Source organism: Homo sapiens, chromosome 3, assembly GCF_000001405.40.
Source record: "Homo sapiens chromosome 3, GRCh38.p14 Primary Assembly".
NCBI lineage: Eukaryota > Metazoa > Chordata > Mammalia > Primates > Hominidae > Homo > Homo sapiens.
Genome location: NC_000003.12, coordinates 114,286,945 through 114,314,184, shown reverse-complemented (window position 1 = coordinate 114,314,184; position 27,240 = coordinate 114,286,945). Strand labels below are relative to the sequence as shown.

General features: G+C 42.3%; 1 protein-coding gene and 1 long non-coding RNA gene across 4 annotated transcripts, besides 11 other annotated features; both read right to left on the bottom strand.

Annotated features, from left to right (window-relative positions):
- Window positions 773-2,106, bottom strand: LOC124909411 (uncharacterized). Its single transcript, XR_007096008.1, has 2 exons — window positions 2,026-2,106; window positions 773-999 (listed from the first exon to the last, which is right to left on the bottom strand). It is a non-coding gene; the product is annotated as an uncharacterized LOC124909411 (long non-coding RNA).
- A 1,790-nt stretch (window positions 2,107-3,896) lies between these two features.
- TIGIT (T cell immunoreceptor with Ig and ITIM domains) lies at window positions 3,897-20,157 on the bottom strand. Of its 3 annotated transcripts, none has more exons than NM_173799.4 (4): window positions 20,063-20,157; window positions 18,311-18,640; window positions 14,482-14,588; window positions 3,897-6,290 (listed from the first exon to the last, which is right to left on the bottom strand). In NM_173799.4, exons 1-4 carry the CDS (start codon window positions 20,121-20,123, stop codon window positions 6,054-6,056), a joined length of 735 nt encoding a protein of 244 aa, NP_776160.2. In that variant the 5' UTR covers window positions 20,124-20,157; the 3' UTR covers window positions 3,897-6,053. The 3 variants fall into 3 exon arrangements, with proteins under 3 accessions (NP_776160.2, XP_047303628.1, XP_047303627.1); XM_047447671.1 differs by having other exon boundaries at window positions 5,901-6,287; XM_047447672.1 differs by lacking the exons at window positions 18,311-18,640; window positions 20,063-20,157 and adding an exon at window positions 17,546-18,279.
- Window positions 5,080-5,259: an enhancer, noted in NCBI's record as "active region_20274". NCBI's record gives its function as "activates an Ori minimal core promoter by ATAC-STARR-seq in GM12878 lymphoblastoid cells {active_cell/tissue: GM12878}" and the evidence as "EXISTENCE:reporter gene assay evidence [ECO:0000049][PMID:35858748]".
- Window positions 5,430-5,479: an enhancer, noted in NCBI's record as "active region_20273". NCBI's record gives its function as "activates an Ori minimal core promoter by ATAC-STARR-seq in GM12878 lymphoblastoid cells {active_cell/tissue: GM12878}" and the evidence as "EXISTENCE:reporter gene assay evidence [ECO:0000049][PMID:35858748]".
- Window positions 6,233-6,332: an enhancer, noted in NCBI's record as "active region_20272". NCBI's record gives its function as "activates an Ori minimal core promoter by ATAC-STARR-seq in GM12878 lymphoblastoid cells {active_cell/tissue: GM12878}" and the evidence as "EXISTENCE:reporter gene assay evidence [ECO:0000049][PMID:35858748]".
- Window positions 6,663-6,742: an enhancer, noted in NCBI's record as "active region_20271". NCBI's record gives its function as "activates an Ori minimal core promoter by ATAC-STARR-seq in GM12878 lymphoblastoid cells {active_cell/tissue: GM12878}" and the evidence as "EXISTENCE:reporter gene assay evidence [ECO:0000049][PMID:35858748]".
- Window positions 6,863-6,932: an enhancer, noted in NCBI's record as "active region_20270". NCBI's record gives its function as "activates an Ori minimal core promoter by ATAC-STARR-seq in GM12878 lymphoblastoid cells {active_cell/tissue: GM12878}" and the evidence as "EXISTENCE:reporter gene assay evidence [ECO:0000049][PMID:35858748]".
- Window positions 14,034-14,533: an enhancer, noted in NCBI's record as "H3K4me1 hESC enhancer chr3:114018499-114018998 (GRCh37/hg19 assembly coordinates)". NCBI's record gives its function as "activates a minimal SCP1, AML or CMV promoter by ChIP-STARR-seq in naive H9 embryonic stem cells {active_cell/tissue: H9 hESC(naive)}" and the evidence as "EXISTENCE:reporter gene assay evidence [ECO:0000049][PMID:30033119]".
- Window positions 14,534-15,035: an enhancer, noted in NCBI's record as "H3K4me1 hESC enhancer chr3:114017997-114018498 (GRCh37/hg19 assembly coordinates)". NCBI's record gives its function as "activates a minimal SCP1, AML or CMV promoter by ChIP-STARR-seq in naive H9 embryonic stem cells {active_cell/tissue: H9 hESC(naive)}" and the evidence as "EXISTENCE:reporter gene assay evidence [ECO:0000049][PMID:30033119]".
- Window positions 21,959-22,901: an enhancer, noted in NCBI's record as "H3K4me1 hESC enhancer chr3:114010131-114011073 (GRCh37/hg19 assembly coordinates)". NCBI's record gives its function as "activates a minimal SCP1, AML or CMV promoter by ChIP-STARR-seq in naive H9 embryonic stem cells {active_cell/tissue: H9 hESC(naive)}" and the evidence as "EXISTENCE:reporter gene assay evidence [ECO:0000049][PMID:30033119]".
- Window positions 21,959-23,845: a biological region, named in NCBI's record as "H3K4me1 hESC enhancers GRCh37_chr3:114009187-114010130 and GRCh37_chr3:114010131-114011073".
- Window positions 22,799-23,038: an enhancer, noted in NCBI's record as "active region_20269". NCBI's record gives its function as "activates an Ori minimal core promoter by ATAC-STARR-seq in GM12878 lymphoblastoid cells {active_cell/tissue: GM12878}" and the evidence as "EXISTENCE:reporter gene assay evidence [ECO:0000049][PMID:35858748]".
- Window positions 22,902-23,845: an enhancer, noted in NCBI's record as "H3K4me1 hESC enhancer chr3:114009187-114010130 (GRCh37/hg19 assembly coordinates)". NCBI's record gives its function as "activates a minimal SCP1, AML or CMV promoter by ChIP-STARR-seq in naive H9 embryonic stem cells {active_cell/tissue: H9 hESC(naive)}" and the evidence as "EXISTENCE:reporter gene assay evidence [ECO:0000049][PMID:30033119]".

The following is a 27,240-nucleotide window of genomic DNA, read 5'->3' as shown; positions in this document are numbered from 1 at the left end:
TTCCACATGCAAATCACAGTCTGCCTGCTGTGGAAATAATCAATCCCATATTATAACACTATGCCCACCTATTCTTGTTTCCACCCATCTCTGTTATCCATGAATCTATCACTGAGTCTCCTTTTTAACTTTTGGGTTTCTCAGCTCCATATGCAAAAAAGGAAAGTTCATGGCACAAAACATGCCCCTCTTTAATGACTTTGGAGACTCATAAGGGACTCCTATTTGGCCCATAGATTCTTTGTTATAGTGACCCTGGCCATAAAGAGCTCTCTGATCTCATCATTCTTACAGAAAGTGCTAATATGGTGAAGAAAACTTATATCTTGTTTGTCCTTGGTGAAGTCAACACAAATTAAATTCACAATGTCTTCTGTATTTCAGTCAGCACTGTGCAATGTATGAATAAAAGAGAGGAAATTATTTCAGCCATGAGAAGGCTTAAAATCTAACAACTAGACATGAAGAGAGGTTTGTATAAAATCAAGAGCTAGATTGTGCCATTCAGACTCTCAATGCCAAGGGAGTTTCTAAACTAACAGGAAGTTGATAATGGCTAGAGTGAGTCAAGAAAGGGTCCAAAGAATAAGCGGTCTAGTTTGGGGACTCGCAAGAACACTAAGCTTTGAGTTGGAGAAGCTGAGTGTGGACAGACATTTCCACCAGTGTGAGGAGCACAAAAATATCCAGGCATGAGCTTGGGATGGGGAGAGTCATCAAGAGACCTCTAGACTGAAAGGATGTCAATAAATTCCTGAGATTTCAACATTACCACTGTGAATTTAAATATTTACTTCTTGCAACTCAATTGCTGAACTTCTAAGTCAACCTGATTGATAGTCTAGAAGTATAAAGAGGAAGAAAATATTTTCATGATGCATAATTTGTCTCTATATCATTTCTGTGAACCAACATCTTCTTAACAATGCCAGCCAGCTTCACCCAAAGTCTTGGATCTCTCTTTGCACTATCCACACACTCTTAAGTTTTCTTCTGTACCTGTTAAAAACATTGTGGTGCGATTTATATACAGGCTGTAATAATTGTAAATGACACATACGCTACTCATATGGTACTTCACAGTTTACAAAGTTTCTCCTTAATATCCTTCATCTTCACAGTTATACTGTAAATATTGTGATGTAGCTATGATTGCACTAATTTATAAAAACACAGGTTCAGAAATATGTGTTTTTCCAATAAAAAACAATAAACTAGTGCCTGAGGTCAGGTTTTCTGAAATCCAATAATATTTATACCATACCATTATTCTCAAACTTGAGTAATGTGTGTATGCCCATATGAAGGAAAAAAAATAGTTTCACAGACCTCCTCAATGGGAGGCGATAATAATAAAATAATTATTCTTATTATAATATCTAGTAATAAATTCATAATATGCATAATTATTTTATTATAGACATTCTTAAATAGGCTCAAACACAACGACAAGTGAACTTACTATGCTTATATCCCTTGTAGAATTATAAAACTACAAGTTACTAATTAAGTACAAGTAAAACTATAAAATTAGTAATGTCTACAATAACAATGAGTGCATAGAATGATGCTTTCCTGAATCTAAGTCATGGCTCACAAAGTTAAGTGTACTGCACACACCCTTCTGAATACAACATCCCTACACTACAGTGTGCAAAGTAAAGCAATTATCGCTTCACTTTCCTGTTAGTTCAATACTGCAAAGTCTTCCACTTCTCCACCCATCTGGGAGTAAATGAATCATTTATAAATTAAGCTTCTGTGCCTTTAAATAAACTTGATTATAATCAAGTTTATATGTATAAACACAAACATAGAGGCTAAAACCAATGACAACACTCTGTTTTAAGAAGGCTATCAACATCCAGATATAGATGACTTCTTTGAAGATTATCATTTCACTTAAAACACACAATGTTTAAACGCTTGCAGAGAACTTGTGGACCCCAAGGCTGTATCTGCAACTCTTAGCTTTCCTTATATCTCAGTTTTTAAGAACATTGATTGATAGATAATTTCAGATACCTCAGTTGCTCCAAGCCAGTTTTGTTGCCTCCATGAAAACTTCTGTGGCATCATTAGCATTACCTGGTGCACGTGTTCCTGGGGCAGAACACAATAATATTAACCCAGCATCTTGCAGCTCACAAAGCAGTCAGCCACGTTCCTGCCTCATCTTCTTAAGAATCTTAGAAAGATAGTAATATTACCATTTTATAAATGAGGAAATATTTATGAGTCTTTGATAGGTTAAGTGGCTTATCCAAAGTCGTGAAACTAATTGCAGAGCTCAGCACTTGGACCAAGTTTCTAAATTCCCTGTCCACTACACTCCATGATTACTTCTTTTTTGATCTCTGTGAAGTCCATCAGAGTTTTAGTCCCAGAGAAGGTGCTCTTCACAGCCTACATGAAGTCAGAATGAATATAGTCTATGGTAAGTCCTGTGATGACAGTCTATTTCTGCATAACCCCTATGAGTTGCAAATTTCTTGACAATTTTGGCCCTATTTACATGAACTGGACCACTTAGCTGCCTCAGATTTTTTTTTTTGAAAAAACCTGAAATAAATAAATGTACAGCCTGCTTTGACCTCATGGTTTGTCTCGATCAGAGGATGGATATAGGAGAGTAGAGGAGAACCTTCAAGTTTCTTCCTGGTGATAGCCATTTCAAATGCATAACAACTGGCGAGCCATCCAATGTCCTATAAACACAGCTGTCTGTGTTTTCTCTATATGCAAGGCAATTACTAGAATTGGAATGTCCAATATACTAGCCACCAGTCACATGTTGCTATTTACATTTAAATTTGTTAATTACAATGAAATAAAATTTAAAATTCAGTTTCTTTGTCACATTAGCCAAATTTCAAGTGCTCAACAGCCACATGCAGCTAATGGCTACCATACTGGATGGGACAGACATAGAGCATTTCCATAATTGCAGAAAGTTCTTTGGATAGCATTGTCCTACACTACCTTATGCAAATAAATTACCTCAAACATTGAGTATATCGTTGTGACTTCCAGAAAGCTCAGGCTCTTGCCACACAAAAAGCTCCCCTGTACCTCTTGACAGGTGTGACTTGGAGTAAGTGTGGGAAACTACCAGTTACAGCTATGAAGCAGCACCTGAAAGAATCAGGAGACTAAACAAAACTCACACCCCACAAATGACAGCCACACTGCCCATTGCCCCCTCTCTGTGGGGTGAGGTGTGCCCACCAGAATGCTGTCATTGGTGGACCTCACACCCAGCCTCCCTGCCTGTCCAGCTCAGCACTGATGGAATCTGAATGAACCTGAGTGTATGACGACTCATTTCTGGGGCTCACAGTGGTGAGAAATGAAAAGGGGAAAAGGCAGGAAATAAAATTGCATAGTGAGGTCCTGTTCACTCATGAAGACCATCTATCTCAAAGCTCCATGACTCAAAGTTTCTCACGTTTCTTTAGTATAATTCTCAGGATTATAGATCAGACTTGTACGCCCAGGCTTAGAATGTGGTCAGGGAATCAGTAATGTATTCCTCCTTGAATGCTCATTCATAGATTTGTCTATTCGCTCCTCCTGTTAGGGAATCCACGAGGGGACCCAGAAAAGCCTGGCATCGCTTCCTGTCAGCACTGAGTGTTCCCCTTCCTCAATCTTCTCTGTGATGCTTCCCTACATATTTCCCAAAAGACATCATAAGCAGGAAAATCTTCCTCAAACACTATTTTGAAAGAAAAAGAAATGGAGACCAATAGACATAGATAGACACCCTCCCTGGGTATCAGTTTGGCTTGGGTTTAGCTACTAGAGCAGCACAGTCACATAGAAATATGAGAGCCACATATGCAATTTTAGACTTTCCAGTAGCCACGTTAAAAAGATAAAAAGAAGCATGAAACTAATGTTAATATTTTATTTCACCCAATACATCCAAAATATTATCATTTTTGACACACAATATACCAAAACTACTGAAATAGTATTCTTATTATTCATATTAAATCTCCAGAATCTAGTGTGATTTTATGCTTATACCAATTATAACAGCACATCTTGATTTAAACTAACCCCATCTTAAGTGGTTGATGGCCACATGTGGAAAGTGGCTACGTGGTGGATAGCGCATGTCTCCAGGAATCCAACTATGAAATGGTCTTCTCTGGTTCTCAGAGGAGAATCTAGTTCAGTGAGTTCTATTTAAAAAAATTTTTTTCAAATTGAATCCCATTTCAGTAACCTGACCCATTTCTAACATCTATAGGCCCTTTTGTATTTTATCACCATCCCAATAGTGTTTATAAATGTTTCCCAATTACCATAATTATGTTAAATAACACCCAACTCTCAGTCCAACCTCTGCCGAATATACACCTCCTCCAAATCAAAACACTACTCCCTTTTCGTCATTACATTTTAGTTCACTTCCAATTTGTGAATTGTGTTCTATTTCCAACAGATTTGCACTAATTTTGCAAGAAAAATGCTGTAAACTGCCACAGCAAACAACAACATTTTTACGTTCATCTAATCTTTCTTCCAAAGGACTTGGAGCTCTGGACAGATTTCAGTTCATTCTTCCTATGTAACCCATTTGGTAGAAAAGTGAAAAAATAATAATAATAAAAATCCTAGGAGAAATAGTTGAATTGTCTTGTTGCTAAAACAATTGTCAACCCCAGTCTAAGTCTTAGGAAGCAGGACAATGCTTTATTTTTAACCATGCGCAAGACACAACCTTGCTTCACATTCTCTTTCAGTTCCTTGGCCCATGAAAGAAAATCAGTCACCAGTAAATCCAACCTCCCCGCTCATTCCTCTGAGAGAGATGGTGGAAGGATAAAAGTCTTCTAAGATCCAGCCTGAATGCAATTAAACAGAAATAAGCGGTTCAGTTACCCCAACCCCAGCACAAAGTCGTCAGGGAGTGAATAAAAGGGTTCGAAGAAGTTAGTTTGAAGGTGTTTATTTTTTAAACCCTCTATCACTCCCAGCCCCCCTTTTTCCCCTAGGAAGAGTCCCTATTTTAAAAATCCACATTTTCTTTTTAGTGGGAAACGTTCTTTTTTCAAAGGCTCAAGAGTGTATTGATGCAGAAAAGGTAGATCAAGGCCCAAATGCTACGACTTGGCTCCCTGTGTGGGCATGTGCGTTTCCTGGGGCTTCCCCAGCACACACGGCCGGAAGAGGCTACAGGCCTGTATCAGGCTGTCTAATGGATGAGTATGTCACAGCAAAAGGAAACTTGAAATGCCTGCCCAGAGAATAAAATCTGAAGTTTGCTGACTCCCTTGGTGCCAGGGCCTTCTTTGTGGGACTTTCAGCTCCAAGAATTTCCTACAAGTTCCCTAGACAAAACTCCTGCTCCTCCCAGACTAGCCTCAACATCCCCTTGGTGCTCCCAGGCCACTTCATCACAGATAAGCCTATGCCAACTACCTCACCCCAAACTGTCGTCTCTTCCTGAAGGCCTGTGTATGTCTCCTTCTCTCCTTACTATAATACCTTTTCATGACAACATTGTCTCCCCATTTAACTGTAAGTTCTTGAGGGCAGATACCAAGATTTAGTCACTCTCAAATCTCCCCATAGAGGCTGCTACCAGGACTTACTTATAACCTGCCTTTGAATGAGTGAAAGTTACTGAAAATGACGTGAAAAAATGAGATGAGGATGGCTCTGCAGTCATGCCATCCTCATCATCAACCACAAAACCTTGTAGCCCAAAATGCTGGCCATTATGAGGAATGTGTCTCTCAGAGACATAGGATCTGCTCAAACTGCCAGATTTAAAACCAGGTCAAGATATTTTTTAATTTTGCATTTATGATCAAGATCCACGTTACTCACCCTAGGCCTGCCATAATGCAAAATGGAATAGAACGAAAAGGCCAAGGAAATGAAGATGGAGAAGAGGATGACATTTATTCACTCAACTGAACACACACACACATACACACACACACACACACGCAGCACTGATGGAGAGTACAGCTGCTTATATATTCATCTATAATAGCAAAGACAAAAGTGTATCTTCCAGAAGATGCCTCTGGTTGCTAACCAGTCTCTGTGAAGAAGCTGCAGTTACCCAGGCTTCTGTAACTCAGGACATTGAAGTAGTCATGCAGCTCGGCACAGTCCTCTCCCCGCTGCTCTCCACAGAGCCCAGCAGGTGCAGCTTCTGCCTGGACACAGCTTCCTGGGGGTGAGGGAGCACTGGGGCTCCATTCCTCCTGTCCAGCTGATTTTCTCCTGAGGTCACCTTCCACAGAATGGATTCTGAGGGCTTTCTTCTAAAAACAAACAAACTACAAAGTGAGTATGTGGGGATGTTATTCAACAGTTAATCCCCAATATGACATCTCTCTCTTCCTTTCTTACACACATGCACACCAGCAAACTTATGTTCTTACCAACACCAATTCCTTAGCCCTTAATTTCTCAACCGCGTTACAGCTAGATTTAAATGCTAACTAGTCCATGGAAACTGCACTTACTACATATACCACGTGCCACACACCTTGTTACTTCCTGTTCACTAAGCTTAGTGAGGCAGCTTTCCATTCTCTATTTTCTTGTACTGTTTACTGCACTTGACTCTGTCGACCTCTTACTTTCTGAAATGTTCTCTTTCTCTGGATCCTTTGGCATCACTCTCTCCTGATTTTCTTCTCCTCCTTTGAACCCCCACCTTCGTCTTCAGCCAGGCCTGCCCCTTTTCTCTTTGCACATCAGCTCCCCAAACCGTGGGGTTCCCCAGGGTTCTGCTCTCTGCTTTCTCTCACGCTAAACATGCTCTCTGAGTGATTTCATGAGCATCTACTTTCTTACATCTACAACCACCATCTGTCCTCTGAAGATGCCCAAATCTCTATCTAAACTAGCCCAGGCTTCTGCCCTGAGCTCCAGATGCAGGTGTCCACCTGTCCACTGGGCATCATCACCTGATGACCCACGGCAAGCTCAGACTCAAATTGTCTCAAACGACACCATCACATTCCTGCCCCAACAAACCACTCCTGCCCCTATATTCACTGCCCTGGTTTATGGCACCAGCTGAGCAGAAATCTGGAGGCTAATGTTCAACTCAATTTATCTGTAAAACTTCATCCAATTTTAATCCTAGGCAGTTCTGAAATCTACTCCCTCTTTTCCATCTCTATATCCATGTCTTCTCTCACACCTGGGCTTCATCCTCACTGTCTCTGGACTCCCTCTTACTTCTAGTCCAACTCCACATGGTCGCCAGCAGAGTGATTTTCAAAAACAAAAGTTGTGTCAGTCCATATTTCTGCCTAAAACTCTTCAATGGCTCCACTGTATATAGGAGGGTGCTTAACCTGAGATGCACAGCTGGATTTCAGGGGATTTGTAAATTGTATAGAAAATTTTGCCCAAGAAGAAAATCCATAATTTCACTACATTCCTCATAAGAAACTGTGATGATCCCCAAAACATCCCTTGTGATGATCCCAAAAACATCCCTTGTGATGGTCCCACTCACCTTTCCAGCTTACATGCTAGGAAAAATGCTAAGTGCCTTACATTAATTATTATTTGACTGAAGTTTTCTCATGACCTTATGAAGGCAATGCCATAATTATCGGCATTTTACAGATGAGAAAACTGAGGTTCATCAAAGTTAGGTGGTACAGCTACTCAAGTGGTTGAGTTGGGACCCAAACCTAGGACTGTCTGATTCCAAAGAACATGCTCCTAAATAACACAGTCTATGGGCTCTCAAGGTCTGTAGTGAATGCTGTTGTGCCTGTCATAGCTAATTTTAGGTATCATCTTAACTGGATTAAGGGAGCTGAGAGAGCTAGTAAAGCCCATTTTGGGTGTGTCTGTGAGGGTGTTTCCAAAGGAGATTGGCATGTCAGTCTGAGTGAAGTGAGTAGGTAAGATACACTCTAAATGTAGCCAAGCACCATCCACTCACCTGGAGGCCTGCCTTTCCCAAAACAGAAGAGAGGCAAAATTGTACTTTCTCTCTTTGGAGTTGGGACACACTCTTCTCATCCTGTCCTTGGACATCAGGACACCAGGCTCCCTGGCTTTCGGACTCCAGGACTTAAACCAGTGCTCCTGACCCTGGGTTTTCAGGCCCTTAGCCTTGGACTGAGAATTACACCAACAGCCTCAGTGGTTCTGAGGCTGTTGGACTTGAACTGAGCCATGCTACCAGCATCCCAAGGTCTCCAGCTTGCAGACAGCCTGTGGTGAGACTTCTCAGCCTTTACAATCACCTGAACAAATTCCCCTAACAAATCCCTCCTCATCTATCTATCTATCTATCTATCTATCTATCTATCTATCTATCCATCCATCCATCCACCCACCCATCCATCCATCCAACCATCCATCCATCCATCCATCCATCCATCCATCCATCCATCCATCCATCTATATCTCCTATTGGTTCTGTCCCTCCGGAGACCCATAACTAATGTACAGTTCCTGCTCAGATCTCTCTACCTGACCAGCACTCCCATTTTCCAGATGCTGGGAGTGTACGCTGTGAGCTCACAGCAGCCCCTTCTCTGGAGAATTGCTCTTGGGCCCTCGCTGGTGAGCAGCCAGAAGTAATGACTGACCTAGGTGGATTTCCAAAATGCCAGCTCCCTGCCTAAAGGTTCAACCGACTCTGTACAATTCTTGCTTCAGCCAAGTCTCCAGCTGAGACCATATCCATGCTGAGCTTTCTTCCCTTAGCCCTCCCTATACTGCTTCCTTCACTACTTTTCATCTGAGAGCTGTCCCAATAAGTCACTCTCACCAAAATTTGCATGTCAGGCTCTATTTCCGGGGACCTGATCTAAAACAGTTGCTGCTGGGAATAGTCCTAGAAGGCAGCCTGTAAGAACAGGATTGTGGAATGGGATCATTCACCTGCTAGATGGCAACACAAACCCCATGACTGGTGGTGAAATGAGATGGGACACAGATGGATGGAAACTATGAGCTGGTGCACTGACTCTAACATTTGAGGTGTATAGGGTAAATAGTTAGTGTTAGAACTCTGGAATTGGGTCAACAGTATAGGGTAATAGTTAATATTAGGACTCAAAATTGACTTTTGCTAAATTGCACCGATGGACTGAAGTGAGAAAATGACAGCCTCAGATCTATCAGCAACTCAAAGTGTGAGAGTTAAAGCTCCTCCTTGGCAGCATTTAAAAGACACTCGTCTATCCACAGCTGAAGACCAGGTACATAAGCTAATTGTAAGAGGGACAGGACTTTAAAGAAGGCTGATTCTAAGCCTAGGTAAATTTTCTATGCCAAAGCTAGCATCTTGATAGTAGAGGAGGAGTCTCCTGAAACTTGGAATGAGGATCTCTGGAAAGATGCATTTGAGAGCCAGGAACCACCTGCTTCTCTTATACCATCTGGAGCTGCAGAAGTGGCCCACTTCCCCTTGATGGAAAAGAATCCCTGCTGGGCCCTGCCTCTGCCTCCCCTACTGTCCATCAGGCCCGTAATTAGGATAAAATCTCAGCCCATGCTAATGGAGGAAGTGCTGGGTCTGCTAAGAGAATAGAAAGGTTATATACTACAGGACCTGGCTAACATCTACTGGCAGGGACTGGGAGAAGATGCCTAGGCATGAATTCTGAAGGTGATGGATTGTGGTAGGGGGTAGAACATAAGCCTGGATGAGGGATAATGCGTCAATATTGGAACGCTCAATATTTAACACCCTCACAAGGGCCCCAGGAGATGATTCTGATATACTGCTGTCAATAGAGATGACAACACTGCTTTGGCAAACTATGGAAAAGGGGAACAAAATGCTCAGAGAATAAACCTACTAAATCAGAAATGGCAAACTGAGTTTTGTGGGTCAAATATGGCCCACTGCTGGTTTTTTACAGCCCTTGAACTAAAGATGGCTTTTATATTTTAAGTGTTTTTTTAAAACAAAAATAGTTTTAAAAAGTAATATCTTCTGCACAGCAAAAGAAATAATCAGCAGAGTAAACAGCCCACAGATTGGGAGAAAATATTTGTAAATTATATATCCAACAAAGGACTAATATCCAGAATCTACAAGGAACTCAAACAAATCAGCTGAAAAAAAAATCCCATCAAAAAGTGGGCTAAGGACATAAAAAGACAATTCTCAGAAAAGGATATACAAATGGCCAACAAACATATGAAAAAATGCTCAACATCACTAATTATCAGGGAAACGCAAATCAAAACACAATACCACCTTACTCTTGTAAGAATGGCCTTAATCAAAAAATAAAAAAATAACCCATGTTGGCATGGATGTGGTGAAAGGGGAACACTTTTACACTGCTTGTGGGAATGTAAACTAGTATGACTATGGAAAACAGTGTGGAGATTCCTTAAGGAACTAAAAGTAGAACTATGATTTAATCCAGTAATCCCACTACTGGGTATCTATCCAGAGGAAAAGAAGTCATTATACAAAAAGCAGCACAATTTGCAATTGCAAAAATATGGAACCAGCCCAAATGCCCATCAATCAATGAGTGGATAAAGAAATTGTAATGTGTCTGTGTGTGTGTGTGTGTGTGTGTGTGTATATATATACATATATATGTATATATATATATACATATATATGTATATATATATATACATATATATGTATATATATATACATATATATGTGTATATATATACATATATATGTGTATATATATATACATATATATATACACACCATGGAATACTACTCAGCCATAAAAAGGAACAAAATAATGGCATTTGCAGCAGCCTGGATGGAATTGGAAACCACTACTATAAGTGAAGTAACTCAGGAATGAAAAACCAAACATTGTATGTTCTCACTCAGAAGTGGGAGCTAAGCTATGAGGACGCAAAGGCGTTAAGAATGATACAAGGGACTAATGGACTTTGGGGACTCAGGGAAAAGAGTGGGAGAGGGCTGAGGGATAAAGGACTACACACTGGGTACAGTGTACACTGTTCGGGTGATGGGTGCACCAAAATCTCAGAAATCACCACTAAAGGACTTATTCCCCAAAAACCTATTGAAATAAAAAATATATAAAAAATTAAAACATAAAAATTTATAGAAAGAAAAACGAATATTTTATTACACATAAAAATTATATGAAATTAACATTTTAGTGTTTATAAATAAAGGTTTGTTGGAACAGAGTCATAGTCATTCATTTGTATATAATCTATAGCACTTTCACACTACAATGGCAGAGTTGAATTGTTGCAACAGAGACCATATGACCTACAAACCCAAAAAGATATACTATCTGCCTCTTTACAGAGAAATTTTGCCAATCCCTGTACTGAATAATTTCCAAAATCCAATAGCTGATTATATTGACTTTTCTAGGGAAGATCCAGAGAACATCCCTTAAGATAATAGCAACAATAAAGGGGAAAAAGGAAAAAGAAAAAGAATATCCCTTTTACTAAGCTGGAAAAGAATGTGCTAGGGGAGCTCCAGCATCATTGAGAAGTTTGGTGGCATCTCTCCTCTATAGGCTAGGGCTAAAATAGGAGATGCTTTTACAGAACTGGATTCCTAGTAGCAATGAGGATGAGGAGATCCCAAAATAGTACAGAACAGATAGCAGCACTTAAAGAAACAAAATGGATGTAATTACTTCAATGGGAGCCAAGAAAGCCTGATCCATGGGAATATTAAAATGGTTAATAGAGCACAGTGTGCCCAGGAGAGATACAGCTGGGCAGCCAAGAAGGGTATTGCTTACATACATAATCAAAAGAGGTCAAGACTACAAGAGAGAAGGCTGAAGCCAGCCAACCCTGTGGAAAGTCAAGATCCTTTGTCCAGTGTTCATGTCTATGAGCACTACTTGAATGGATACCAGCCATTTGCCTCTTGGCTCTGCTCTCTAACCTTCTCCACCCTATTCTGTGCCCTATGAAGACTGTACTAAATGTACTACATCAATGAGTCCCCTTATCCTCCATCCTAAGTTTGAGGTCAGCCAATGCAAAGCAACAGTAGGGGAATGGAGAGAGGAATGAGATGAGGGTATGTAGTTCCCTTTGTTCTTTCTGCAGGGTGGCCTTGGACTGGTTGTGACCCTCCAGCAAAGACTACAGCACTTCTGAAGGAGACCCCTCCACATAACTCTCTCCTTCCAGGCTCCAATAATTAGCCCCTCCCCTACCCTTTGAAGAACTAGGAATGGTTACAGCACCTTGCTACTCCTCCTTGTGGTGTCCTTACATCCTACTAGACTTCTGGAAATCCTATTATTAAACTGTCTTCAAACAACCCAGTTTGAGTACTACATGTTCCCTGCTGGAACCCTGAATAATGCAACTATAAAATGCTTTGAGCAAGGAGAGAGAGACAGAAGACTGACAACTATATCCAAAGCACAGGAAAGATGCAGAGAGGACCCACACTACACAGGAAGCAGTGGAAATGTCAGAGAGGGCTGGGGAATCAAACACTGTAGAAAGGGAGCAACAGGACTCAATAGGTCTCTTCACCTTTTTCTCTTTCTCTACCCTCCAGATGACCAAAGTTAGTCCAGGTGCCCAGAATGAAAATTAACCAGTCTTGAATCCTTAACAGGAAAAGTTGTTCAGCTCCTTCTAAAGAGCCTTTGATTCTTTTATTCCAGACCATCAGGACACTGCTAACAGCAGAGAACCTGTTCACCAACCACCATAGCAGCTCCCTTCCCAGCTAAGAGATCAACTTTCATCTTCTTCACCTCCCCCCTCTATTCAATCATTTCTCTTGTCCTCACCTTCCCATAGAGGGTTCATTTCCTCATTATGTCTATTGTGATAGCCAACACATAAATGAAAATATTATAGATCATTGACTTTCCCAATAGCACCAGCCATGTCTCAGCCACTGCAGTTCAACCAGGCTGCAGAACTGAGTTGTTAATTGAATGGAATTAGAGTTGGAGGAAAAGTGGGTTAGGATCTCAGGTGGAGGGTCTGGGGTAAAGGTAGAAATTACAAACTTGTGTTTCCCAAAATATTTATGTGGTGACTTGAATTAAGGTGACCTGGGCTGAGCTGACTTAAAGGGCCCAAGAGATCAGACAAAACAAGGAGTGGAAATTCTTTCACTCCTCCCAATCAATACCAGTAGCTGATGACATAAATTTCACTGATATAATTCTTTGTTATTTATAAAGATTTTACATGAAATATGCCACTTGTTCATCACAACTCTATGATATAGAGTAAGCCGAATTATAATACAGCTATGGTTTTAATGTGTCCCCCAAAAGGCCATGTGTTGGAAACTTAATTACCATTGTAATAGTATTAAGTGGTAATGCTTTTAAGAGGTGATTAGGCCATGAAGATCTGCCCTCATGAAGGGATTAATGCCATTATCTCAGGAGTGGGTTAGGTATCATGGGAGTAAGTTCCTAATTAAAAGGATGAATTTGGCCTCATTTCTCTCTCTCTCTCACATGCATGCACTCATCACATGATGCCTTCTGCCGTGGGATGAACCTCGCCAAATACACCATGCTCCTGGACTTCCCAGCCTCCAGAACCATGAGCCAAATAAACTTCTTTTCTTTATAAATTTCCCAATAATTGTATTCTGTTACAGCGGCAGAAAATAGACTAAGACAAATCCCCATTTTATATATAAGGAAATGAAGACCTTGAAAGATTAAGTAACTTTCCTAAAAGCATACACTCAGTGCCAAAACTAGAAACTAGATCTTTCAATTCCCCATTCATTACTCTTTCAGCCACATAAGCTCTTAAGCTAAACAGAGGATTTACAACCTGCTGATCTTGCCATGCCCACTTTACCACCAATTTTTTTTTTTTTTTAGAGATAGAGTCTTGCTCTGTTGCCCACGCTGGAGTGCAGTCATAGCTCACTGCAGCCTTGAACTCCTAGAGTCAAGTGATCCTCCCGCCACAGTCTCCCGAGTGGGTGGAATTATGTCTATTGTGATAGCCAACACATAAATGAAAATATTACAGATCATTGACTTTCCCAATAGCACCAGCCATATCTGTGGCTTCTGAGGTGTGAGCCACAGCTCCTGGCCTAACCCTACATTTTTGGAGTGTTTATTTCTCATTCTACAGACATGCTGGGTAACCTAGCACTACCAGAGAGTTGTAATAATCAAAAGAGCTAATGTGCAGAAAGCTCTAGCATATATAGATGCCCACGATGCATCAAAATCATAGTAGATAAATTAAACTCTCAGAGCAGTGGCTTAAGGGATAAGCAGAAACCAGGAGTTACAAATGACAGCAAGATGGGTAGGAAACAGGTCCAGCTGTCCAGGGGGTCCCTCCCTATGAGAGGGACAACGGAAGAGCATAAATAACTGCACTAATAGGCAGAACAAATGCCAGGAAAAAGGCACAAAGAGCACTCGGGAAGATCACATCTGGGTCTCTCTCTGGGTGGAAAGAGAACCTGAAAGGACCCGGGTGCCAGACGTGGGGGTGCCCATGACTGCGGTGTGCAGCCGGAGCCATTACCTTTCTAGTCAACGCGACCACCACGATGACTGCTGTGCAGATGACCACCAGCGTCGCGGCCATGGCTCCAAGCAATGGAATCTGGAACCTGGCACCGTGCTCAGCCACTAGAGGGAGGACAAAACAGAGATGAGTGGCAGAAGCCAGAAGTGAAGCTGATTTCCCCAGGGCAGCCTGAGCTTCACGGCAGAGAGGGGAGGATTGGCCAAGCCCTTTGTGTAACCATGGGACTGGAGCCTTTAAGCCCAACACTTTGAACAGCAGAGTATCCATCTGGCCCATCATGAAATCAATGACTGATATTTTCAGCAGTGGTGTACCTTGTATATTTGATACCAGAGCAGGTCATTTTAACATTCGTTTCTTCTATTTGACAAAATCATTTTTGGTAATCATGAAATGAAACAAATAGTAGTTCCAGAAAAAAACTCAGAAAGTGAATATTTTCTTTTATTGAACTTCAAATATGAAATCATATCAATAAAAATATTTAATTCAAAATTAAAATAAAGTTAACATTAAATTACAAAAATGAAAAAAAGTATGTAACCTTTTCCCTTAAGCCTATAACACTTATTTCCAGCTAGGCTGTGAAACCCTGGAGGGCATGAGGCTCTGGACTCTTATCCTTTGCTGTTTTCTCAGCATCTGACACATAGCGAATGCTCAGTAAATATAAATATTTGTGGCATAAGTGAAATCATGAACTAGTGCATTTCATTAAGAGATAACATGTAAGTGGAAGCAAGAAGATGCAGGAGGGGAGTTTTGAAGAGATGAGTAAGATCTGACCCAAGAAGAATGTGAGAAAAAGAACACCATCACCCCCATGCATGCTGCGCTGTAGGTAGGTTTCCAGTCTGCCCCAGCAGCTCAGGTAGGGCTCAGGTATCCAGGGGAGTCTTCAAAGGATGCAGCAGAAGCCTCACATCTCATCCCTCTACCTAAGGGTCTGGGTTGCTAAAAGGTGGCTTAGGAATCCAATCCATAAGACAAGGGTGGTGCCTGCACAATTCAAATTCCCCAGAACATGTTCCTCCTGCCTTGAGGGACTCAGTCACAGTTGGCCAGGACGGCTTCTGGTTAGCCATAGCCATACAGTTAGCTCTGGAGTAAAGAGGACAGATGGAAAGCACAGGGGTCATAGAGAACACACTGCAGCAGGTAAGAGGGGCTGCAGAGGGCTATCCATAAAACCAGGAAAGGATATATGATCAGTTTGGGGACAGAGCCAGATTGGAGGCAGGGTTAGGCCTGGGTTCTCTTACACCTTGGGGACAGATGAAGATAGATGGAGTGAAAAGCATGTTGAGGTTTAGGGAAGATTATGATAATGAGTTTGGTTAGGTTTAAGGATAAGTTCGAGATACAATTGGGACCAGAGTGGAACTTGGGATATTAGATGTATCAATTTCATTTGGAATTTTTGGTTTGAAATAAAAGCACCAATGTCTCCATTCACAGTTATGGTCATAGAACAAAGATATCAAGGTCTTTGAAACAGAAGCAGCCCTGAGTAAGCATGACATCACTACATGCAGGGTGGGGAAGGGGCAGACTCTGTATAAGGGTTACTTAAAACTTCTGCCTATTAACCAGGTTGACTTTGGGGTTAAGTACAATTTTAGCATTAAGGTTAGGAATAGCTTAAATATTACAGATAGTATTAGGATAGGGACTTGGACTAAGGTTTGAGATTAGGTTCAAAAAGAAGCCAGGGTTTGTGCTAATGCAAGTAATTAAGGAGAGTTTGCATTCCACATAAGCAACTGACCACTTGGGAAACAAGAGGGAAGAGCCGAGTGACCAATGGTGTTCCCTGGAGTCTGCAATGGCAAAAGGGTGGAAACATACAGGCTTTGTGGGGAGGCTGCACAGGGGTCCAATAGAACATCTTCTGATCTCTCTCCCCAGGGGTCCATGAGCCACAGAGAAGAAATTTGCACCTTCATTTCCCCAGGTTCAGGCTGGGAAATAGCCGTGCCACTGTGGTCTTGGGGAGGAGTGTGCATGTCAGGACCACCGATCTCCATGAATGGCCTGGCCTGGAGATTAGCAACCAGACATAGCTCCCATTTGGTCTTCAGTTGCTGGTACTACCACTCCACAGGGGCCTTCTGCCTGATGAACTCCCTCCCTGTTCCCGGTCCTGCCGTCTGGTGATGGGTCCTCTGGCATATGACACTGGGGTAAAGAGCCCAGAATGGTCAAGGCCATCACTTGGTTACTTTGCCAGAATCTAGGTCCCCTGCCCTGCTTATTGTCCCAGGCCTCCTCTAACCATGAACCAATAAATAGCATAAAAACTAGCCCTTATGAAGTTAAGCTTATTACCTATCTAGCACTGTTGTAAGACCTTACTTGTATCAGCTCATGAAATTATTTGCCACATTTTATCGACAAGAAAACTGAGAAAAAAAGTACATAATTTACCCAGACTTCGTGGGGTCAACTGCAATAGTCAACCCCAGACAGTGCAATTCCAGAGCCTCAACTCTTAACCAGTCTTTGTTTGGCCTATGTGAAATCAGTTAAGAAGTAACACTTTGGGAGGCTGAGGCGGGCAGATCACTGGAGGTCGGGAGTTTGAGACCAGCCTGACCAACGTGAAGAAACCCTGTCTCTACTAAAAATACAAAATTAGCCGGGCATGGTGGTGGGTGCCTGTAATCCCAGATACTCAGGAGGCTGAGGCAGGAGAGAATCGCTTGAACTCAGGAGGCGGAAGTTGCAGTGAGCTGAGATTGCGCCATTGCACTCCAGCCTGGGCAACAAGAGCGAAACTCCGTCTCAAAAAAAAAAAAAAAAAAAAAGAAGTAACATTTGAAAGGAAACTTTAAGGTAACCTTTTATCTTCTCAGTTTACACATATTTTGCAACCATATAACTTAATCTTCAACATAACTGACAGCAGTAAATAGGAGTTCTGAGGATGCAGTTTAGTAGAACAAAAACATCTGTGTTAAAATCAGCTCTACCACTCTGAGCAACTCCAAGCTCCAGCTTCTGCCTGCATCAAACAAATGGGAATCATACTAATAGTTAACACTTATACAGCACTTACCATGTTCCAGGCATTGTTCTAAGACCATTTTCTTGTAGTAGGGAATTTAATCCTACATTAGCATCGCATAAGGTCTTATATTCATCCTCCTTTCACAGATGAGAAAACTGATACACAGAGAAGCTAAGAAATCCTGTCTGAGGGCAACAGCAGAGCCAGGATTTGCACCCAGACTGTCTGGTGTCAGAGTCTGAGCTTTTAACCATGGTGCTATACTGTCTCTCAGATAAGATAAGAATCCTTTTCTAACCTCTGGGAATTGGTTTAAATGTACAGGTGGATAACAAATATGAGGGCATTTGGGAAACTTGGAAGTACCACACAAATGTAAATTACTGTACAATTAAACTTAGCACAGGCTATGTTTTTAACCAGCTCTACTCTTTATACACTTAGGGGTTAATTCTAATTTGCACAATTATACTAAACCAATAAATGGGAACTTTTGCATATGACCTCATCAACTGGTCTTCCTAGGAAATATAGGTAAGATGTGCTTCTTACATAAGAACAGTGGTTCTCAGTATTGGCTGCCCATTAGAATCACCTGGAAATGCTTTTAGACCTTACCCTTGTTTAGCTCTGCTATTAGGGATTCTGATTGAATTGGTCTGGGTGAGGCCTCGGCATCAGTATGATTTAAAATCTCCTCAGGTGATTCAAATGTGATCCCGAATTGAGAAGCCCTGCTGTGCAGTGTTTCAGGATTGCATTTTCTATGCTAGAGGGAGAGGTTTATCCACCAACTTGCTCCAGCAGGAATACCTGAGCTTTCTAGGACCTCCAGGAAGATTCTCCCAGTGTACGTCCCATCAGGGTAGGTGTGATAGATGCAGAAGTACTCCCCTGTATCGTTCACGGTCAGCGACTGGAGGGTGAGGCCCAGGCCGGGACCTGGGGCCACTCGATCCTTGAAGGATGGGGAGATGTGCCACCCCAAGTCAGCATTACAAATGGCCAGAAGCTGGTCCTGCTGCTCCCAGTTGACCTGGGTCACTTGTGCCGTGGTGGAGGAGAGGTGACATTGTAAGATGATAGAGCCACCTTTCTCTGCAGAAATGTTCCCCGTTGTTTCTATTGTGCCTGTCATCATTCCTAGGGAAGAGGACGAAGCACATGTGAGTCCTGGGTCAGCAGCTGGCCTTCAACCTTCCTAGAAAAATTCTAAGGGCCTTTGAGGCCCCAACTGGATTTTGGAATGATAGTTTCTCCAGTCCATCCTGTTGCTCCTCCATAGAGGCTGTAATTATTTCCTGTTTCTTCCATTTCAAGAGACGCTCCTCTCCATGCCTGTTATTCAAGGCTCCCAGTCCCCCATTCAGGTTGTCTTTCCAGTCTTCTCACCCTTCTCCACACATCTCTACTCCAGCCCAGCCCAGCCCATCTCCTCCCCACCCACTGCCCTATGCTTCCAGAGCTGACTTCTGCCCCTCTTTACACCTCGCCCACAGGGAGGCTTGTCAAGGCTGCACTCCCTCCCCGCCTCCTAGAAGACCTCAGCCCATCTCAACCTCCCTTTTCCTTTCACATTCACTGCCTGTATTGTATAATTAGCACCTTACTAAATGCCTGGCTTATGACTACACAACTTAGCACGTTGCCCCCTCGCATATTCTGCTATGTAGCTTCATGGCCAGCTTGTTATTTTCGTAGGCCTATTTTGTCTACCCACTTAGAATATAAGCCCTTGTCAGCTGATACCACCTCTTCTGTTTTTATTTTGTTTTGTTTTTATGTTTCTTCCTGCGGCCTAGTTCTATGCTGGATGCATTATCCTTTGAAATAAAACCTTGCTGTTTGGTTGATTGTCATTTGCAGTGCCTGAAAAAACCTTCAGGAAAGCCAAGAAATCCAATAGCAAAGGAAGCTTAGCAGGAAACCCTGCTTCTCCCAGGCATAACCACCCTCTCAGCACTTAACCTCTCCCCAGCAACCCTGGGCACATCTCCATCCTCAGATAGTTCAGAAGGCAACATAAAAACTAATTTATACCACAGTTTTTAAATATTTGTGTTCCCCTCCCTCAGAAATATTTGACTCTGATTTTTAATATAGAAGAAATAAATTTAACAAAAAATCAGTCTCTAGTGGTAGAACCTCTGGAATCTGTGAAAAAGACATTTTCAATTCACAGAGAACTTATAATGTTTTCCTGGAAAGTTCCTGAAAGGCAACAGAAAAGAAGCTGGAGCAGGAATGAGCTTCTAAAAGCAAACTGGCAATGCCTCCTGCCCAGCCCTTCTTCTTCTCCTGCTCCTTCTTGTGCTGGCCAGTCAGGCTCCTCCAACCCCGGAAGTCTGCAAAGTCCTTCATCTGCCACCAAAAACAGAACCCCACCTCATTCTCAGAGATTGTCCTTTCTTAAATAAGAGTACACAGGACTCTAAAAGTTGCAATTTCTTTCTCTCAAGCAGCTGTGGCATGCTCTTGGAGTCTTCCCTACACAAGCACCCAAGTCTCCAACCAAGCTTAGCCTTGTTTTTCCTCCCTGCTGCTCTGCTGGGTTTCAGGCCTTACCTGAGGCGAGGGGAGCCTGCCTCAGCCCCTGGGCCCAGATCAGGAGGAGACACCAGCGCATGCTTCTGCCCAGAGGGCCTACAGGAAGCAGATGTGGCCTCTTCTGCCACTGAAAGTAGCCGACTGCAGATAGGACGGTAAAACTGAGCCTCTGAGAAAAGACGGTCTCGGAAAAACCAAGTTTGGCAAAAACCATATTAAAAACACATAAAGTTGTCAACAAATACACAAACTGCATAGGGTGAGCCACAAGAAAGGCCATGAAGGAAACATTTAAAAATAAATGAAAATTGTGGTTAGAGGTACACTCGTCTTTGGATTATAGTCAATCTATTGTTTTTAAGTTCTGTCTTAATGTTTTTTCTAAAAATCAGCCTTTATTCAAAGAGCTCAAGGGCATCTGTGTAGTGCCCAAGATTCTGAAGAATCTGCTACTGATGAGGAACTGTTGGCTGAGCTCCTCTGGCATCCTCCTGATGAAGAATGTGCAATGATAAGAGAAGCTTATCATTGTAGGGACTTACAGGCCAGGGACTGCACTTGAAATCTAATGAACAGGTGAACAAGAAGTGTTTACTTGGGGGATGATACATGGATGGGACAAAGGTCTTGGACAAACACAGCAACTTTCCCTTGAAGGAGATCTTCTACTCGAATCTTATTTCTTTTGTCTTGTTTATCTGGACTGAGACTTTATTGAATTCTGGCTTGATTTCTCTGGTGCAGTAGGATCAGAGGAGATTAGAGGAGAGAGCTTTCCTGTGCACAATGACCTCATGAGAGCTGGAAATGCAAAGAAGGGTGAGCCCCTGGGAGCTGACCCAGGAGAGGGATTGGTTGACATTTGCCTGGAGCTCCCAGCCCATCACCAGGTCCTACTATGGACCCATCCTTCTTTCCTCCCTCCCTCCCTTCATTCATTTGAAAGTCCCTGGGTGCCTACAAAGCACCAACCTCAACACCAGGCTCTGAGGATATGAGAGTAAATAATCACAGCCCCTACCCTCAAATAGTTTACAAAGCTTGTTCCTTGGTGAACTCAGTCAGGAGAGGGGGTAGAAGATCCACATTCACCTGCCTCGCAGGCTCTCAACACAGTTGCCTTGGGGATGCTCCATGTTGTACATCCTGAAAATCTGCATCTGCACCCAGAAGCATCTGAAGCCTGGTGCCCCACCCCCTCCATTCCAGCCATGCACCTCTAGCATTTCACACCATCCAGGCTCCTACCCTCCTTCTCCCTTGCAAGGTCTTCTATCTCAGGCCAGTTTTCTCCCCTCTCTGGGTTCTGCCTATCCCCAACTCTATGACTTGTATACCCCTTATACCCCACCTCCAGACCCTTAGACAATATACGCCTTACCAGCTTCTCTCTGCCTACCCAAAGCAACCTGTCCTTCAAGGCTCACATCAAGAGATGCCTTGCCTTTCAATAGCTACAAAGCCTTCAGCTGAAGGAGAAATAATACCTAATGTGTGTCCAAGGGAAGGTGCCAAGGTTGAACTGGAGGGATGTTTCCCAAACTCACTAAGGCCGGGGAGCCAGGAGTGGCAGGGCCAAGAGCAGCTAGTGGGACTAGAGCACAGAAAGTGGTGGACACTAGGATTTGGGCTATAAAAATTTACAGCCTGTGTTTCCATAGTTGAGCTGGGTGGGAGCCAAAGAGGTGAGACCTCTCTTATATAATGAGATATCCAGAGAAACTTAGAGGTGGTTTTAAACAATTGTTAAATAATTTTTCTGTTTTTTGCTAAGTAACCAGTCCAAAGAGGAATATGGTCAAGTCCATTTTGATCAATGGTGCTCTAGAGGGGGATGATTAACAGACTGGGTCCAAAGTCATCCTGTTTGGTGACCTTGGAAAACTTTCTCAACCTCCTGAAGGCTCAGTTTCCCCATGTGCATATAGGAATAAGAGTACCTCTTTCATAGGGTTGTGAGGATTTAATTCTCTAGTGTTTGGTGAAGTGTTCAGCACAGTGCCTGGAAGATGGCAGGAGTTCAATACATCAACAGTAGTATTGATAACAATATTAATTAAGGAAGTGAAAGGAAAATTGGAGGACAATATCCCTATCTATATAATGTGCTTTGTCAAGAGTAAAATCCTAGTCTCCAGACTCCAAGGCCAGGGTTCCACCCAACCTCTTCATTCTGCCCTCCTTATCTGATAGAACAGGAGGATAGCATGTTTCTGCAGGAAAGTGACCACTTGCCAGCTAGACCCTGAGGCTGCCTTGGAGGAAAGCAAATGACAGAAGTCTCTCCCCAGGGAATCTACCCCAGACCCTCCAGAGCCTCCTGCACAGACTCCACGGGGAACCTGGCTGGTTCCCACCCACTCAACACCAGCCCCCAGCACTGAGCGGCTCAGCTGTGAGAAGCAGGCCTGCTCTGAGAGCTCCCCGGGCCACCCTGAGCTTTTAAGGCCAGTCAGCAGCCCTCGTGGCATAGCAGGGATCTGTGAGGTCCATCAGGTGCTGACTCACATTTCTATTTTAAAAATGCTAAAATCAGCCACTGTGCTTTATTCTGCCCTGACTTTTGGGGCTGTGAGTTGGACAAGTCTGGTCCGCCTTGATGCAGCTGGGTGAGTACAGGTGCTGAAAAAGAATGTCACGTTTGCCCGTGAAAGGGGAAGAAGTGCTGGCCTAGACTGTAAAACCCCCTTATCAGTTCACAGCTGGGCCTTCCCCTAGCCCGCCCTGCGCCCTGTGAAAGTCCCGGGCCAGCCGCACTTGAGTCCACAGCCTCCAACCACAAGCACGGTCCTGAAAACCTGTGGCCCGCAGCCCTCAGCCAAGCGGGGCTGGGAGTGGTGGTACCTTCCACAAGATCGGTGGCTTGTACACGGGAAACACAACCTAGGGTTCTCCCAGAGCACAGACCAATCTCCCAGCAGTGTCTTTGGGCTTCTGCTTCTCCAAAGTCTTCCCTCTGGCTCAGAAGTGGTAGGGGAGCTCCATGGCTGTCACAGCTGTCTGATGCCTCCTGTCTCTGCCTAGAATCAAGGGCAACATCCTGCGGCAGCAGCAGGGGGTCGTGCTCTCTCCTCCAAGCTCCCCACTCTCCATCCTGTAGAACAGCGCCTCCTGGTGGCAGGTTATATTATGGCGGGGGGCGAGAAGGCCCTGCCTCCTGCCTTAGATGTTAGGAGAGAAGGGCGAGGAAGCACGGGAGCCCTGACACAGGGGGGACAAGGGGACCTGGCCGCCCCAGGCACCAGGAAGGGCCCGCCCTGTGTCCCATCACCCCCAGCTGTCTCACAGCCTTAGCCAAGCTTCCTCACAGTGGGGCGGCCTGAGTGATGGAGTTCCAAAGCCACTTGTGGAGAGAGCTGCCTCAGAAAATCAGACTCCACGCGAAAGGACTGCCCGTGATCTGAGGCTTATTAACAAGCCATGGGACTTGGCTGACACTGGCAAATACAAATGAGGAGAACTTGGGAGTGGGACCGCTGACTTCTGTTTGTCAAAACTCCCTCCCGTGAGGTGGCTCTGAGGATCTATCTCCTCCATCCTCCAAGGCTGCCAAGAAGTTCAACCGACTATGGGAAATTTCTTTCTTCTTTCCAGCTGTGAAAATAGGACAGAGACCCCTAGGATAGGTTGGAATGCAAAGTCAGAAGAAAAATCTTTGGGAAGAGGCGGCTGATCCTCTCAGCTTAGGCCTCTCCTGCCGCCTCTCTTCACAACCCTCCTACACACCCACATTGCTTCCCTCCTTCTCCTCCTCTATTCTAGATGGGATTAAACTATCGTATAATTAGACAACTTAGGCAATGACACTTCTTAAAGGTAAGGCAGCCTTTATTCAGGACCATCACAATAGGTATAGAGACCAAGGCAATGGGATTTTGCAGTGGGGGAGAGATTGGGCTCAATTCTGAATACAGCATGGGCAATGGGAATTTATCACCAAGAAGCAGAGTGGGGGTCAGTGGATGGAAAAGTGCTAAGAGGGAACATCACGTGTAAGGAAGATTCTGGCTAAACTGACCTAATAGGATTCTTGCTAAAGACAGGCCAGGGTAGATCAGACATGAACTGAGAAATGGTGGAGGATGAGAAACCTGATAAGATATCAAGGGTGATCAGATACAGGGGGATAGGGGTTCTTGCAAAACTGATTTATCCTTGTTCTTGGCTAAAAAATGGATTTTACAAGGAAGTGCATGGATGGGCCTAGGAGAAGGTTCAGGACAAACTTTGCTGACAAAGTTTGGTCAAGCAAAGAATCATTGTTACTCTCAGTCCTTTATACTATCAATCCATCCCGGCCCCATCTTCCTTGGGAAAGGTAGCCTCTACCCCTGGACACTTCTTTCCTTCTTCCTCTTACCTAGAGCCCTCAGTCATCCAAGACAACTAGGACTGGGATAGAAGTACACGTGAACATATCATTCCAAGACTCCCTCAAGCATCAAGAGCTCCTCCTGTCCCCAGCAAAAAGAATGCCATACCTAGAAGATTTCACAAAGAGACTACAACAAACTTCTGAAGAGCAGATAATTTCAATGTTACTTAAAATATACAGACATAGAACATAAAGCCTTCTTCATTAGTTTTATGATATGAATTCAAAACTGATATTAAAGTGATTAAGATTGCACACAATTAAAGAACACCAGATTTGAATCTCACTTCCATATGTTGAGGAAAAAATTCTAAATATTGTTACGCAGAGTCCGATAATATATTAAACAAAATACATAATCACCAGGTAGGGTTTATTCCAGGGTAGCAAGAATGATTCAATATTGCAAAATCCACTAATAATAAATATAAGGTCTATATTTTTCAAAGCCTATAATCATTTCCTTTGATTCTGATAAGCAATCTGATGAAATCAATCCCCATGACCTATTTATTTATTTATTTATTTGATGGAGTTTCTCTCTTGTTGCCCAGGCTGGAATACAATGGCACAGTCTTGGCTCACTGCAACTCCCACCTCCCGGGTTCAAGCGATTCTCCTGCCTCAGCCTCCCAAGTACAGGCATGCACCACCACGCCCAGCTAATTTTTTGTGTTTAGTAGAGATGGGGTTTCACCATATTGGTCAGGCTGGTCTCAAACTCCACCCGCCTCAGCCTCCCAAAGTGCTGGGATTACAGGCTTAAACCACAGTGCCTGGCCTGACCAATTGTTTTTAAATTCAGTGAAAGAAGAATCTGTAAATTATTTTTTCACACAATGTAAAAAAATTATTTTTACATGTGTGTGTGTAAATTATTTGTACACACACACATGTAAAATTAGCCCCAAACTAGCATCTGTTTTGATGGAGAAATGCTAGAGGTATTCCTACTAAAGTCAGGAAAGGGTACCCATTATTACTGTGACTGGTTAACAACTTACTGGAAATATTAGCCAATTTAATTAAGTAAGAGAAGCATTTAGAGGTATAAGAATTATAAATAAGGAGACAAAACTATTTCTAGCTATAGATGATTATATATGTGTGGAAAACCCAAAGGAATCAATATGGAAAATATCATAAACAATAAAAGAATTCTGAAAATTAACAAGATATAAAATTCATACACATGAACAGTCTTTCTATATTCACAGCAATAATTAATCAGAAAGTGTTTTGAAAGACAGCCTCCATCTATAATCACAGCAAAAAAAAAAAAAAGTACAGAATACTTAGGAATAAGTTTAATAAGAAATGCACAAAAGCCAAAAGAAGAAAATTTGAGTCAGCTGTCCTTTATGTGTTTAAGTGAAATTCTACAAATACTAAAAGAAAATATGACATAAGTGAATTCCTTTAAAATCTGAAAGTAGAGAGTCTTTTAACTTCACTAAAAATCTGGAATCCATAGATAAAATTTTGTGATGAATTTGATTATATGAAGTTTTTTAAAAAGGCTTTTGCGTTCATATAACATTGTAAAAGTCAAAAGACAAGTGACAAACTAAAAAGATTATTTGGAACTTATTTCACAGCCAAATGATTAAGCTCTTTAACATAAATAGTTCCTAGAATTGAAGAAGAAAAAGACGAATTCCGAACATATCCAAAGACCTGAACTGAGAGTTCATAGAAAACGAAATACAAATATTCCTTAAACAAATGGAAAACTCCTCAACTTCAGTCATAGAGAGACGAGCATCAAGACTACACCATGCTACCTCCCCACCAAACAGGCAAAAATCAAAATTTTAACAATATATTCTATTGGTAAGGCCGCAGATAAACAAGTACCACCATATATTGTTGTTAGGAATGCAAAATGATACCACTCCCTTGGAGGAGAGTATGTCAATATCTATCAAGATCACAGCTGTGTTTATTATTTGGCCAGAAATCCCACTTCTAGAATTCTAAAGATATAACTGTACCAATGCAACATGATACATGCACAAAGTTATTCATGAGGCATATTTGTACTAGAAAAAAAAAAGGAAACAGCTCAAATGTTCACCAGTAGAGGAATGGTTCAATAAACTGTGGTACCTCCACATGATGGAGAATTAGGTATCCATAAAAATAATGAGGATGATCTCAATAAATTTGTATGAAATGATCCCTAGAAGATATTGTTAGGTGAAATAGCAAGATGCTGAAACGTGTATAGTATGCTACCTTTGTGGGAAAGAGTGAAGGAGTGTAAGACTATGACTACAAATTTACCTATATTTGTAATAAGAAAAACTGTAAGAATTAACCAGAAATTAATTCTAATAATTGGTTACATTTAGGTAAAAGGCAAGCAGGTGAGGAGAGAGATGACTGGGAAGGAAGAAAAACTTCTTAATTATAGCTTTTAACTTCTAAAACGTGATGCTTTTACATATTTTAAAAAAATACATATTGGTATGGTCTGAATGAGTTCCTCTAAACTTCATATGTTGAAATCTAATTCCCAATGTGCCAATATTAAGAGTTGTGGCCTTTGGGAAAATGATTTAGCAGTGAGCGTAGAGCCCTCATGAATAGAATTAGTGCCCTTATTAAAGAAACCTCAAGGATCTTCTTAGCCCCTTCCACCATGTGAAAACACAGCTAAAAGACACAATCCATGAGGAACCAGCCCACATCAGGCTCTGAATCTGCTGGTGGCTCCATCTTGGACTTGTCAACCTCCAGAACCATGAGCAATAGAATTCTGTTGTTTATAAATTACCCAATCTAAGATATTTTGTTATAGCAGTCAAAATGGACTGAG